This window comes from Homo sapiens, chromosome 3 (assembly GCF_000001405.40).
Source record: "Homo sapiens chromosome 3, GRCh38.p14 Primary Assembly".
In the NCBI taxonomy this organism is placed as follows: Eukaryota; Metazoa; Chordata; class Mammalia; order Primates; family Hominidae; genus Homo; species Homo sapiens.
In genome coordinates this window covers 170,269,057-170,282,113 of record NC_000003.12, presented here as the reverse complement: position 1 = coordinate 170,282,113, position 13,057 = coordinate 170,269,057, and the positions used below count along the sequence as shown (strand labels likewise).

Sequence of the window (13,057 nt, the reverse complement as noted above, 5' to 3'; positions counted from 1 at the left end):
TTAACTTTTAGCTCAGCCTCTGCATGACTTACAAATAATTAACTAGTATCAAAATAAATTATTTATCTACTGTTTCCAACCACTGCACATAAAAAGCCACATGGCCCCAAAAAGAAAACAACACAAACAGTAAACAAAAACTCACCTGGCATGTTCTTCAGGAAGTTTTCTTTGTCGCTGCATATGAAACATTAGGTCTCCTCCATTTACATACTCTATAACAAAGAACAATCTAAAACACAGGAGAGAACCCATGAAATCAAGATCCAAAATAAGGTAGTGTAACTTTGCATTTTCAGAAACCATCACAACAGAGAGCATTCTCTACTATTTAGCCTTTAAAAAGATGCCAAAATTTTGGTGGAAACAAAGGGTATCTAGGGTACGGAACATACGAGAAAGTAAACCAGCATGATAATAATTTTGTAACCTACTACTTCTGTTCTAAAGTAGTACCACTTGCAATCCAGAGCCACTCATTACCATCCTAATTTTAGCATTTGCTAAATAAGTCATTTTCGACTGTCAAGGTATTTTTCCTCCTTGTTAAATGCTAGAAAATTTTAAGTCATAAAACTAGAATACTGGGGATATTTAAAAGGTTGGATTTCTACTGCCATAATTACGACATGGCTATTTCCTGTTCTGCCTAAAGTAGGTCATTTCCTAATGCTGATCTAATATCAAACTGATATCACTGATGGCAGTATTATTAGCAGGAAGTTATAAGCCTAACACTGTTGCATCCTCCATGATATCAACTTCATGAATTAGGGCAGAAAGGTTCTAACTGTGTAATATGACCAAAAATATGAAGCCCAGTAATCATTCTACTATCTTTCAATCTTACCTGCTTTCTGTCTGAAAGCAAGAATGCAGCCCAACAAGGAAAGGATGATTGGATGCCTGCTCAAACACATGCTTCTCTGTCTGTACCCAATCAATATCCTATTTTGAAACATGTAAGAAATCTATGTCAAACTGATATCACAATTAATGATAAATTTGCTCTGAGCAATTCAATGGTCACAAATGCAATGGTTAACTAGGCTAAATATCAAAACCATTGATAATCATGAAACGAAAATTTACATACAAAGAGAAAAATAACACTAGTCAATCTTTCAGTATTATAAAACTGTCTAGAAAACTTTTACAAAGCTCAAGTATTTCTCCTGATAATAATGTGGTTTGATTTTTGTTTTTTTAAAAAAATCTAATAATCAAATTACTTTAAATATCTTATACCATCTATAAGAAAAGTAAACCGAAATAATATATTTCATTTACTTAGCACATATTTAGAAAAGCAGAATGAGATAATAAAGCACAAACATAGAGGTTTTCTTTAAAATAGTACTCTTGGCTGGGTGCGGTGGCTCACGCCTATATTCCTAGCAACTTTGGGAGGCTGAGGCGGGTGGATCACTTGAGGTCAGGAGTTCAAGAGCAGCCTGGCCAACATGGTGAAACCCCATCTCTACTAAAAATACAAAAATTAGCTGGGCATAGTGGTGCATGCCTGTAATCCCAGCTACTTGGGAGGCTGAGGCAGGAGAATCACTTGAACCTGGGAGGCAGAGGTTGCAGTGAGCCAAGATTGCACCACTAGCACTCCAGGCTGGGTGACAAGAGCGAAACTCCGTTTCAAAAAAAAAAAAGAATAGTATTCTCAAGCAGTTTAGAAGCAATAAAATATGCAGTGCTTACCTCATCATCATTAACAAGCTCTTTTTTCACAACTTTCATTGCATAAATACGATCTGTTTTTTTTAATCGAACCAACAGTACTTTGGCATAACTTCCTCTTCCTATTACCCGGAGCAAATCAAAATCCTGAAGACCTAGACTGGATGAAGCTTTGCCACTTTCCCTGGTGTTCATTGCCTGTTGAGAACATTTGTATCAGAGTTATAATGGGAAATGCTTTGCGTAGTACATTATATTTCTAACACCTAGTTGTACCTATAACGATTTAAAGATATTTTCCTAACATAAAAATATTTTAAGTTCTTAATATTTTTCAAATGTCATTCCAAACCAAATAATCTAACTATCCAGATTATATGGATGAATTTTGAGATAAGAGGGATGGTAATAAGAATGGGGAGGGAGTTGAAATCACAAAAACATCGAAGGATGTCTTAAAAAGGATACGATAACTTTTGGGTACAGAGGCAATAGAGATGCAGGAATTAAAAAAACACATTAACCTTGGTGACCAAGAGATTGGGGGTACCACTGACAGGGAACGTCAAGTGTGTGGCTAGGATAAGATTGACAAAGTTACTGGAGAGAACGATTGGGTTTTTCATGATAAATTCAGAAGTTATAATGAGACATCAAGATGAAAGAGTCTGCTGGAAGCTTGATACATAGAATGTAAGCTAGTGAGAGCACACATTCAGAGGCGTTTTTGGATGCTATAGACAGAAAACAAGCATGAAGTAGTTCAGCGAATGGAAGACATTCTTTTCCACAGAATACCAAGACCCCTTTGGGACGACAAAGTAAGCCTTAAAATTCATTCACAACTACAAATGTAAGCTTCTAGCAATTTACAGAGAAGCCTGAAGACAGTCTTTTATTAGATGCCTGCAAAATCATCAGCACACAATGGACCCATGAGAATAAAGTATGAAATCTCTGAAGTGAAGAATACCAAGAAAAGCAAATAGTAAATTTTGAGAAAGATAAAGAAACCCGCAAGCACAAAACTGAAAGAAGGGTATTAGAAAAACTGAGTGAGAATGACAACTTAAAAACTTAGAAATAATAATTTAGGCTGCGCACAGTGGCTCATGCCTGTATTTTCAGCACTTAGGGAGGCTGAAGCAGGTGGACTGATTGAGCCCAGGAGTTCAAGACCAGCCTGGGCAATGTGCCAAGAAACCTCATCTCTACCAAAATATACAAAAATTAGCCGGATGTTGGTGGTGTGCACTGTAGTCCCAGCTACCTGGGAGGCTGAGGTGGGAGGATCACCTGAGCCAGGCAGGTCAAGGTTGCAGTGAGCTGTGATTGTGCCAGTGCGCTCCAGCCTGCATCACAAAGTGAGACCCTGTCAATAATAGTAATAATAATAATAATTTGATTTGGTAACAAGGTGATAGTTTGTATATCTGACCCCTCCAAATCTCAAATCTCATGCTGAAATGTGATCCCTAGTGGGAGGTGTTTGGGTCACAGGGACAGATTCCTCATGAATGGCTTGGTGTGTTCCTGTGTAATGAGTGAGTTCAGAGTGTGGCACCTCCCCTGACTCCCTTGCTCCCTCTCTTGCCATGTGGCACACCTGCTTCCCCTTTGCCTTCTGCCAAGACTGAAAGCTTCCTGAGAAGCAGATGCTAGTGCAATACTTACTGATCAGCCTGCAGAACCGTGCACCAAATAAATCTTGTATAAATTACCCAGCCTTAGGTATTCCTTTATTCCTTCCTTCATTTATTTATTTATTTAAGAAAAGGTCTTGTTCTGTCACCCAGGCTGCAGTGCAGTGGCACGAACATAGCTCACTGCAGCCATGAACTCCTGGGCTCAAGTGATCCTCCTGCCTCAGTCTCCCAAGTAGCTGGGGCTACAGGCATGTGCCTCCAAACCCGGCTAATTTTTATTTATTTTTTGTAGACATGGAGGGTCTTGCTATGTTGCCAAGGCTGGTCCTGAACTACTGGCCTCAAATGATCCTCCCGGTCTAAAGTCCTAGGATTATAGGTGTGAGCTGCCACACCCAACCTTCAGGTATTCCTTTGTAACAACACAAAACAGACTAACACACAAGGGTAAATACAGCAGAGTGAAAAGAAACCAGGTTTGAGAAGGTTAAGAAAGAAGAGAAGTGTAAGAAAGTAAGTCAACACATAGACTTGAAATATGGCTAACTGGAAACTATAAGAGAGAATCAAGTGGAGCAAAAAAGATAGAGTTAACTTCACCGACACAATAATAAGGCTGAATGAAATGATAGACGCCACTTAACAGTGAAATGTCATCTTCAAAGGGCCTAAAAAAGAAGAAAACAGCTGACCTAGAATTCTCTATCCTGCAAAAGTAGCTCACAAAGTGAAAGTGAAAGAAAAACATTTTCAGACAAAGAAAAACTGAGTGGATCCATCACTACTAGGTGCTCACTAAAGGAAAAACTAAATTGAGTTCTTGAAGGAGAAAATGCATGATCTCAGATGGAGGAACAGACGTAGGAAGGAAAGAAAAACAAAAAGGGTAAAATGTGGGTAAATCTACATAAGGAGTAACTGTTTAAAAAAACAAATATACACACACACAGAATTTTAAACTCTGATAATAATAACACCCAAAGGCAGGAATGGAAAAGGAATGAATTTAAGGTGTGCCAAGGTCACTGCATCTTCTAGAGAAACAGTAAAAGTGTTATTTGTAATTTTCTTTTTTTTTTTTTTTTGAGACGGAGTCTCGCTCTTTCGCCCAGGCTGGAGTGCACTGGTACAGTCTCTGCTCACTGCAAGCTCCGCCTCCTGGGTTCACACCATTCTCCTGCCTCAGCCTCCCGAGCAGCTGGGACTACAGGCGCCTGCCACCGAGCCTGGCTAATTTTTTGTATTTTTAGTAGAGACTATGTTGCCTAGGCTGCTCTTGAACTCTCAGGCTCAATCCTTCCGCCTTAGCCTCTCAAAGTGCTGGGATTACATGTGTGAGCCATCACGCCCAAGTTGATTTTTTAGTAACAGCTATTCTGACTGGTGTGAGATGGTATCTCACTGTGGTTTTGATTTCTATTTCTCTGATAATTAGTGACGATGAGTGGTTTTTCATGTGTGTTGGCTGCTTATAGGTCTTATTTTGAGATATGTCTGTTCATGTCCTTTGCCCTTTTTTTTTTCTTTTTTTAAACAGTGTCTTGCTCTGTCGCCCAGGCTGGAGTGCAGTGGCATGATCTTGGCTCATTGTAATCTCCGCCTCCCCAGTTCCAATGATTTTCGTGCCTCAACCTCTTAAGTAGCTAGTATTATAGGTGTGTGCCACCACGCCCTAATTTTTTTTTTTTTTTTGTATTTTTAGTAGACATGGGGTTTCACTATGTCAGCCAGGCTGATCTCAAACTCCTGGCCTCAAGTGATCTGCCTGACTCTGCCTCCCAAAGTGCTGGGATTACTGGTGTAAGCCACCATGCCCAGCCCTTTGCTCATTTTTTAATGGGGTTGTTTTTTGCTGTTAAGTTCCTTATAAATTCTGGATATGAGATCTTTGTTGGATGTATAGTTTGTGACTATTTTCTCCCATTCTTTAGGTTGTCTGTTTATTGGTGGATTCTTTTGCTGCGTGGAAGCTCTGTAGTTTAATTAGGTCCCACTTGTCAATTTTTGGCTTTGTTGCAATTGTTTTCGGAGACTTAGCCAAAAATTCTTTGCCGGGGCCAATGTCGAGAGGATATTTCCTAGGTTTTCTTCTAGGATTTTTATAGTTTGAGGTATTACATTTAAATCTTTATTCCACCTTGAGTAAATTTTTGTATATTGTGATGAGGGTCCAGTGGTGACACATGCCTGTAGTCCCAGCTACCTGAGAGGCTGAGGTGGCTTGAACTCAAGAAGTTGAGGCTGTAGTGAGCCATCATTGCACCACTGCACGGGTGCCTGTGCAATAATCCTGTCTCACAAAAAAAATAAAAAGAAAAAAAAAAGTTAAAAAGAAAAAAAGACTTTTTCAGACAAACAGAACAAGAAACTAAAACATAACATCAAATAGGTGACTAACAGGTTTCTTCAAAATAATACAGGAGTGAGGGAAGTGAGTAGACAAAATAAGGCTAGACATGAATTGATAGCTGTTTTAACTAACAATAGATACAAGGGCTTTGTTATATTATTGTTTACTTTTATTTATGTTTCAAAGTTTTGGCTGGGCATGGTGGCTCATGCCTGTAATCCTAACACTTAGAGAGGCTGATTTGGGAGAACTGCTTGAGGCCAGGAGTTCGGGACTAGCTTGGGCAACATAGTGAGACTCTGTCTCTACAAAATAGAAAATGAAAAAATTAGCTGGGTGTGGTGGCACAGGGCTATAGTCCTAGCTACTCGGGAGGCTAAGGTGGGAAGATAACTTGAGCCCAGGAGTTTAAGGTTGCAGTGAGCCATAATCACACCACTGCACTCCAGCCTGGGCAACACAGCAAGACCCCAACTCAAAAAAAAAAAAAAAAAGAATGATACGGGAAAGAGAGGAGGCAGTGTGAACTAAATCTTTCATGTCCAGAAATACACAAAAATAAAAAATTGAAAAACAGAAATATAAATATTATGGACATAACTAGAAATGGTTTAAAAGGTTGCCAAGAAGCCAAACTGGGAGTGGAAGGTGGGAGACATGATTATCTTTTTCACTATAAGCTTTTTTCAAAAAACTGATTATTATTTTAATCAAATCATTTTAATTATTTGTTTTGTTTTAAAAACTGATAAAATACTTAATAGTCAAAAAAACAATGACAGTTAATATGTTTAATCATTTATTGTCTAAATAAGCAATTCAGGCACAAAACGGAAGGGTCTACTATATATTTTAAACAATACTACCAAGTATTTTAAACAGTATCCTTAAATACATTGTAATTTTCAGATTAAGCTATTTTAAAATGAAAATAAGTTATCCCACTAAATTATTTCCTAGTTTAAATTAGTAATTTAATTACTAAATTAAATCAGAATAAAACTCTGGAATCATTACAAATCATTTTTGCATTTCACCATTATGATCTAAAGTCTAAGCAGGTCAATATGTCATACTTTTAAACTCCTGAGCCTTATTAAAAAGCTAATGATATAATGTACAATAAGACAAATTATCTTACCTCTTTTTCTTCACCAACTTGATCCAAACTCTCATGACTTGAAGGATTATATGGAATTACTAAAAACCCAATACCAAACATTAAAAAAAAAAAAAAAAAAGGTGCAGGAGAAAAAAACAGCAACCATTAATGAGTTTGAAATAAAAATTGTCTCCTGATTTTTATTTTAGTTTTTACTTCTGAATAAATTTTCATTATTTAAAACTGACTATCTGTCCTACTAATAACAAATTGTATGTAAATACAATAGTTAAATCCTAATCTTTAGTGAGGGTAAAGAGAGCAAGCATCACAACCTGGTAGCCAAGTACTGCTTTTAACAAGTACTTTCGTTATTTTTAAAACATTTCTCTTCTTTACAAATTAATCAAACACTTCCTTCTAAACAAATGACTCTATAAGATATGTTTAAATTTTTTAGTATGACTAAGACATAGAGATACAGGACCTCTGGTTTTCACTTCTCACTCCATTGTACTCAGAATTTTCCTAACTACCACAATGGTCAAGTAAAGAACAGACAAGGATGGAACTTCTACTTCTTAAAGCTACTTGGGGCAAAAAAAAAAGAGCCTGCATTTCATAGAGTTGATCATTCTATGACTACGAGATTGCATTTTGTCTTTCCAGAAAAACTCCCTTGTTTTCCCTTTCTTGATTTAGTCCAGAGAAGATCATGCTGTTCTACCTCCTTGCACTGCTCTCCAAATTTCCCAGATACGTGTTTAAGGTTTTGTATCTATCTAACGTTTTCAGTTACACCATCTTCCTGGAATTTCCTATATTGCATCTCTCTATGTTTCACATAATTTCTACTTCTGATAATAAAGCTTTTAATAAAAACAAGTCACTTCAGCTGGGTGCCATGGCTCATGCCTGTAATCCCAGCACTTTGGGAGGCCAAGGCGGGTGGATTACTTGAGGTCAGGAATTCGAGACCAGCTTGGCCAACATGGTGAAACCCCATCTCTACTAAAAATACAAAAAAATTAGCTGGGCATGGTGGCATGAACCTGTAATCCCAGATGCTCAGGAGGCTGAGGCAGGAGAATCACTTGAACCTGGGAGGTGGAGGATGCAGTGAGCCGAGATCACGCCACTGCATTCCAGCTTGGGCAACAGAGCAAGACTCTGTCTCGAAAGAAAAAGAAAAAAGCGAGTCACCTGAACACAGTCAACATGGGCCACAAAATCAGCCTCATGTTTTTCATTATGGAAAAAAACTGAGTTTGCTGAATTTAAAGGCGTCTCAAAAGAAATTTATGTGAACTAGAAAAAATAGTCATTTGTTGTAGTTTACATACTTTTTTTTTTTTTAAATAGAGACAGAGTCTCCCTGTGTTGGCCAGGCTGGTCTTGAACTCCTGAGCTCAAGGGATCCTTCTGCCTCGACCTCCCAAAGTGATGAGATTACAGCCGTGAGCCACCACACCCAGCCCACAGTTGTCTTTTTTTTTTCTCTCTCTCTTTTTTGAGATGGAGTCTTGTTCTGTCACCCAGGCTAGAGTGCAGTGGCATGATCTTGGCTCACTGCAACCTCCAACTTCTGGGTTCAAGCGATTTTCCCGCCTCAGCCTCCTGAGAAGCTGGGACTACAGGAGTGTGCCACCACACCCTGCTAATTTTTGTATTTTTAGTAGAGACGGGGTTTTACCACGTTGGCCAGGCTGGTCTCGAACTCCTGACCTCAGGTGATCCACCTGCCTCAGCCTCCCAAAGTGCTGGGATTACAGGTGTGAACCACCGCACCCAGCCCACAGTTGTCTTTTAAAAATGCCAAATGTGTATGTTAAATAGTGTGACTGATTTCACCACTACAAAATATATGTATTTACTTTTAATTGGGAAGAAGTAAATGTTTTTAAACTTGGGTAAGAGAGTCACCTAAGTAAGTCTTTACATGCTACTCTGTGAATGAACAATGGGTTGTGCCAGCACCACTCTTACCTGTCTGTGCATGGTCAGAATGCATGGATGACTGATCCATGGGCATCACTGGTTCCTACAAACATTTCCAAAGACACAGTAACTCAGTGGAGTACCTCTATTACACCAGAAATAACACTATTTCAACAACACACAGCATATTAAAATTTAATTTTGAAAGAATATAACTTAAGTGAGAATTTACTTTTAATTTTGTTTTATGAAACTATACAATACTGCTGTGAATGAGGTAATGTTAGTCACATTTTACAGAAAAGAAAATACAAAACTAATTTCAGACCACCAATTAGAAATCATATTAAACTGCCATATATTCTGCTTTGCTTCTCTTCAACACTACCTATTCTTCCTTCAAGCTCCACTTCAGATCTTTGGCAAAAATAAGTTTCTGGAATATGCATTCTTTAGCTGGGGTCCGGGGTAGACTTCAGGATGTCTATAACCTCTTAAAATTACATGTAAAATTTTGTGGGTTTCCCATTTTCCTGAAGATTCTCAAGGGTGTCAGTGGCCCCAAAAAAGAGAAAAGAAATACTTTCTAGAATCCAACTTACCCAAATAATGGCGAATAATCTCAGGAAAAAGGTAAATTCAAACCCAAGTTATTACTGATTTATTCTTAGACTCACATTTAATGAATACCAGCAGGAAAAAGTAAACTTGAGAAAGAACATTAATGATACAGTTAGCATTTCAAGGCTGCGTTAAAGAAAGGCTCATAAGTAAGCTTAAGGATTTTTAAAACTTCAATATAATCACTAACCCTGCCCCCTTTCCTTCCATATGTCACCAAAGAATACTCAAAAATATTAATAGTAACCTACATAAATATGTTGGAAATAGTCAGCCTTCTGTTTTTCCTTAAGATTGGATTTTCCCCTTTACTACAAACCCATTCCTAAGCTTATATGAACTAATTAAAGATTCTAATACCAAAGAGCTACCGGTAATAACCTGCTTTCACAATGTCCAAAGCAAGTCCCATGAATAAACATGGAATAACAATTCTAAAGGACAATTTAGAAAGATGCATCCAGGTATTTTTCTTTCTTTTTTTGACTGTTCCTTGTGGAGCAGGGCTAATCGATAGGCAGTGTGCTTAGATAGCTGCATCCAGGTATTTTTTTAAATGCGTATCTTTTAACCCAGTAATTCTAATTCTGGATCCTTAAGGAAGTAAGATTTGCCAGAAAGTTCACTAAGATTGGCCAAGTGCAGTGGCTCACGCCTGTAATTCCAGCACTTTGGGAGACCGAGGCAGGTGGATCACCTGAGGTCAGGAATTCAAGACCAGCCTGGCCAACGTGGCAAAAACCCCATCTCTACTGAAAATACAAAAATTAGCTGGGCATGGTGGCACACACCTGTAATCCCAGCTACTTGGGAGGCTGAGGCAGGAGAATCACTTGAACCTGGGAGGTGGAGGTTGCAGTGAGCCAAGATTGTGCCACTACATTCCAGCCTGGAAGACAGAGCGAGGCTCTGTCTCAAAACAATAACAAAAAAGACACAGGCAAGCACATGTGCCTTCTGGTGGATAAACAACCCTCTGTAAAGTCGACTCAAAAACAATCCACCAAAACAAACAAACCAACCCCAGAATCTAATCAAACCTCGACATCCAACTACTGTACAAGATAAAAGAATAAAGAAGACAATAACATACTGAACATAACCATGGAGAAGTAATGAGCAAAATTTTACAACAGTGTAAATGACAAATAACTGTTTCTTTTACAATTAAATTGTAAGGAAAAAAAGAAGAGAGAGAAATGAAGAAAGAACCAGTAAATTAAAGAATATCTAAGAGATCAATCAATTGTACAAGTGCATTTCATTTGGATCCTGATTCATAATGAAAACTATAAAAACAAAATTATAATATTTATGAGAACACTTACTGGATATTTGACATAAAGAATTTGTTTTTTAGTTAGGTTTTTAAAAAAGTCCTTCTCTTTTAGAGGTACATACTGAAATATGTCTGAGATTTGTTTGAAAATAATACAGGGCAAGGGGAAGTTAAGTGAATGGGGGTACAGATGAAACCAAGATTAGACATGAGTTGATAACTGTTGGAGCTGGATGTCTAGTAAATGGGAGTTCATTATAGTGTTCCACCTACTCTTATACATGTTTACATTTTTTCCATATGGAAAATTAAAAATGTTTATGCATATAAATTTGCACAGGAAAAGTTCTGGAAGGATATCCACCAAATGACAATTACCTTTACATGGTAGAATATATGTGGACTTTTACTTAGTTTTCTTTATTCATCTGTATTCTGTATTTTTTTCGATAACAAACATGTTTTATATATTTAAAATAGAAATTAATAAATAAAAATTTTAAATGCTTTCCTCGCCAGTAATCTCACAGTTTAAATAACAAACATGATACCTTTGACTCTTCTTACCTGATATCTGCTTAGGATAGAAGCTAGAATAATGTGAGCTATAAACTAATACGTTCAGATTAAAGGAGAGGGGGAAAAAACTCTTAAATGGTTCTCTCTATAGCTTCCTAATTTAGACCAGAGGATTTTACAGCAGGTAAAGAAGTTAACTGTGTCCCACAGACAAGTATTACCACAGATATTTCGAAGTTCCAAAGTTCACGGTGTGTTAACAGTAACGTAAGGTATTCCTCCCCATACTCTGTAGCTACTCTGTTGTGCTGTAATTCCTGAACACCTCCCTATTTTAGCACTCTGTTATAGCAGTGTTATCAAGCACGCTCTTAAAAAAAAAAAAAAAAAAAAGGACAGACATCTTACCTGTGGCAAAGAATGCCGCCCACATTCAATTGTGACGAGTTTATGGCACTTCTTATGAACCAAGAGTTTGCAGTTGATGCACTTATATCCTTGGCGTCCAAGTCCCCATATTCGGTCTGTGCAGATGGCACAGTGAGCACGCTGAAAAGAGTAATTCAACAATATTTTATTAACCAAGAAGGTCATAACCATTTCCCAAATAGTTTGCTGACTCAATTCCCTTTGTCACGGTGTCAACTGTCAGCCCACAACAAAAACAAAAACAAAAGCAAAACAAAGCTTCCTCATACATAATTTTTTAAAAGCTATGAAGGTCAGCGAAAAACAGAGCTTATTTTAAAGAGACAGTGAAATCTGCAACCACATTTCTTTCTAAGTCTAAGAATTTTCAGTCTTTACATAATCAAGTTCAAAATAATGAAAACAGAATTAAACTAGAAATATATATGGCAGAAAAAGCCATTGAAGGACTCCTAAGCAAACATAAACCTTGCAGGCTGTTCAGAGGTCAAAACAAAGCTCTGTTTTCTTAAAGAGCAATAACCTAAAGTGACTTCTCATTTCAAAGCCGCCTTCTTCTTCTTTTCTTTCTTTTTTTTTTTTGAGACAGAGTTTCACTCTTGTTGCCCAGGCTGGAATGCAATGGCACAATCTCAGCTTACCGCAACCTCCGCCTCCCGGGTTCAAGTGATTCTCCTGCCTCAGCCTCCAGAGTAGCTGGGATTACAGGTATGCGCCACCATACCTGGCTAAGTTTTGTATTTTTAGTAGAGATGGGGTTTCACCATGTTGGTCAGGCTGGTCTCAAACTCCTGGACCTCAGGTGATCCACCCACCTCAGCCTCCCAAAGTGCTGGGATTACACGTGTGAGCCACCGCACTTGGTCTCTCTTTTTATTTATTTATTTATTTTTAAGAGACAGGGTCTTGCTCTGTCAGCCAGGCTGGAGTCCAGTGGAGTCACTTTGATTCACTGCAGCCTCAACGTCCTGGGCTCAAGCTTCCTGAGTAGCTAGGACTACAGGTGTGTGCCACCATGCCCTGCTAATGATTGTATTTTTTGTAGAGATGGGATCTCACACTACGTTACCCTGGCTGGTCTCAAACTCCTGGGCTTCAGTGTTCCCCCTTCGCAGCCTCCCAAACTGCTGGGATTACAGGCATGTGCCATTGCACCCAGCCTCAAAGCCTTCTTAAATGTCAGTGCTACTGGAAGTAAGAGAGTTTGGAGAGGGATTTCGGGTGGTGGTTTCTATTTACATTAATTAATTACATGGCATTAGTTTTAGAATGGAAATGGCATCCAAAAATTTGCGGTTATCAAGAGTATTTAAAAAATTCGTTTCTGGCCAGGCATGGTGGCTCAAGCCTGTAATCCCAGCACTTTGGGAGGCCGAGGCGGACGGATCACGCGAGGTCAGGAGTTTGAGACCAGCTTGGCCAACAAGGTATAACTCCATCTCTACTAAAAATACAAAAAATAGCCAGGCCTGTTGGCTGATGCC

General features: G+C 38.4%; 1 protein-coding gene across 3 annotated transcripts in view; it reads right to left on the bottom strand.

Moving 5' to 3' along the window:
• PRKCI (protein kinase C iota) overlaps positions 1 to 13,057 on the bottom strand; it is an 83,554-nt gene that overhangs the window by 23,864 nt on the left and 46,633 nt on the right. For all 3 annotated transcript variants that reach the window (NM_002740.6, XM_047448574.1, XM_047448575.1), the window contains 6 exons: positions 11,553 to 11,693; positions 8,774 to 8,828; positions 6,827 to 6,885; positions 1,711 to 1,887; positions 851 to 948; positions 146 to 232 (listed from right to left, as the gene is read on the bottom strand). In NM_002740.6, the coding sequence (NP_002731.4) occupies positions 146 to 232; positions 851 to 948; positions 1,711 to 1,887; positions 6,827 to 6,885; positions 8,774 to 8,828; positions 11,553 to 11,693 (617 nt within the window). The remainder of the gene's footprint in view (positions 1 to 145; positions 233 to 850; positions 949 to 1,710; positions 1,888 to 6,826; positions 6,886 to 8,773; positions 8,829 to 11,552; positions 11,694 to 13,057) is intronic.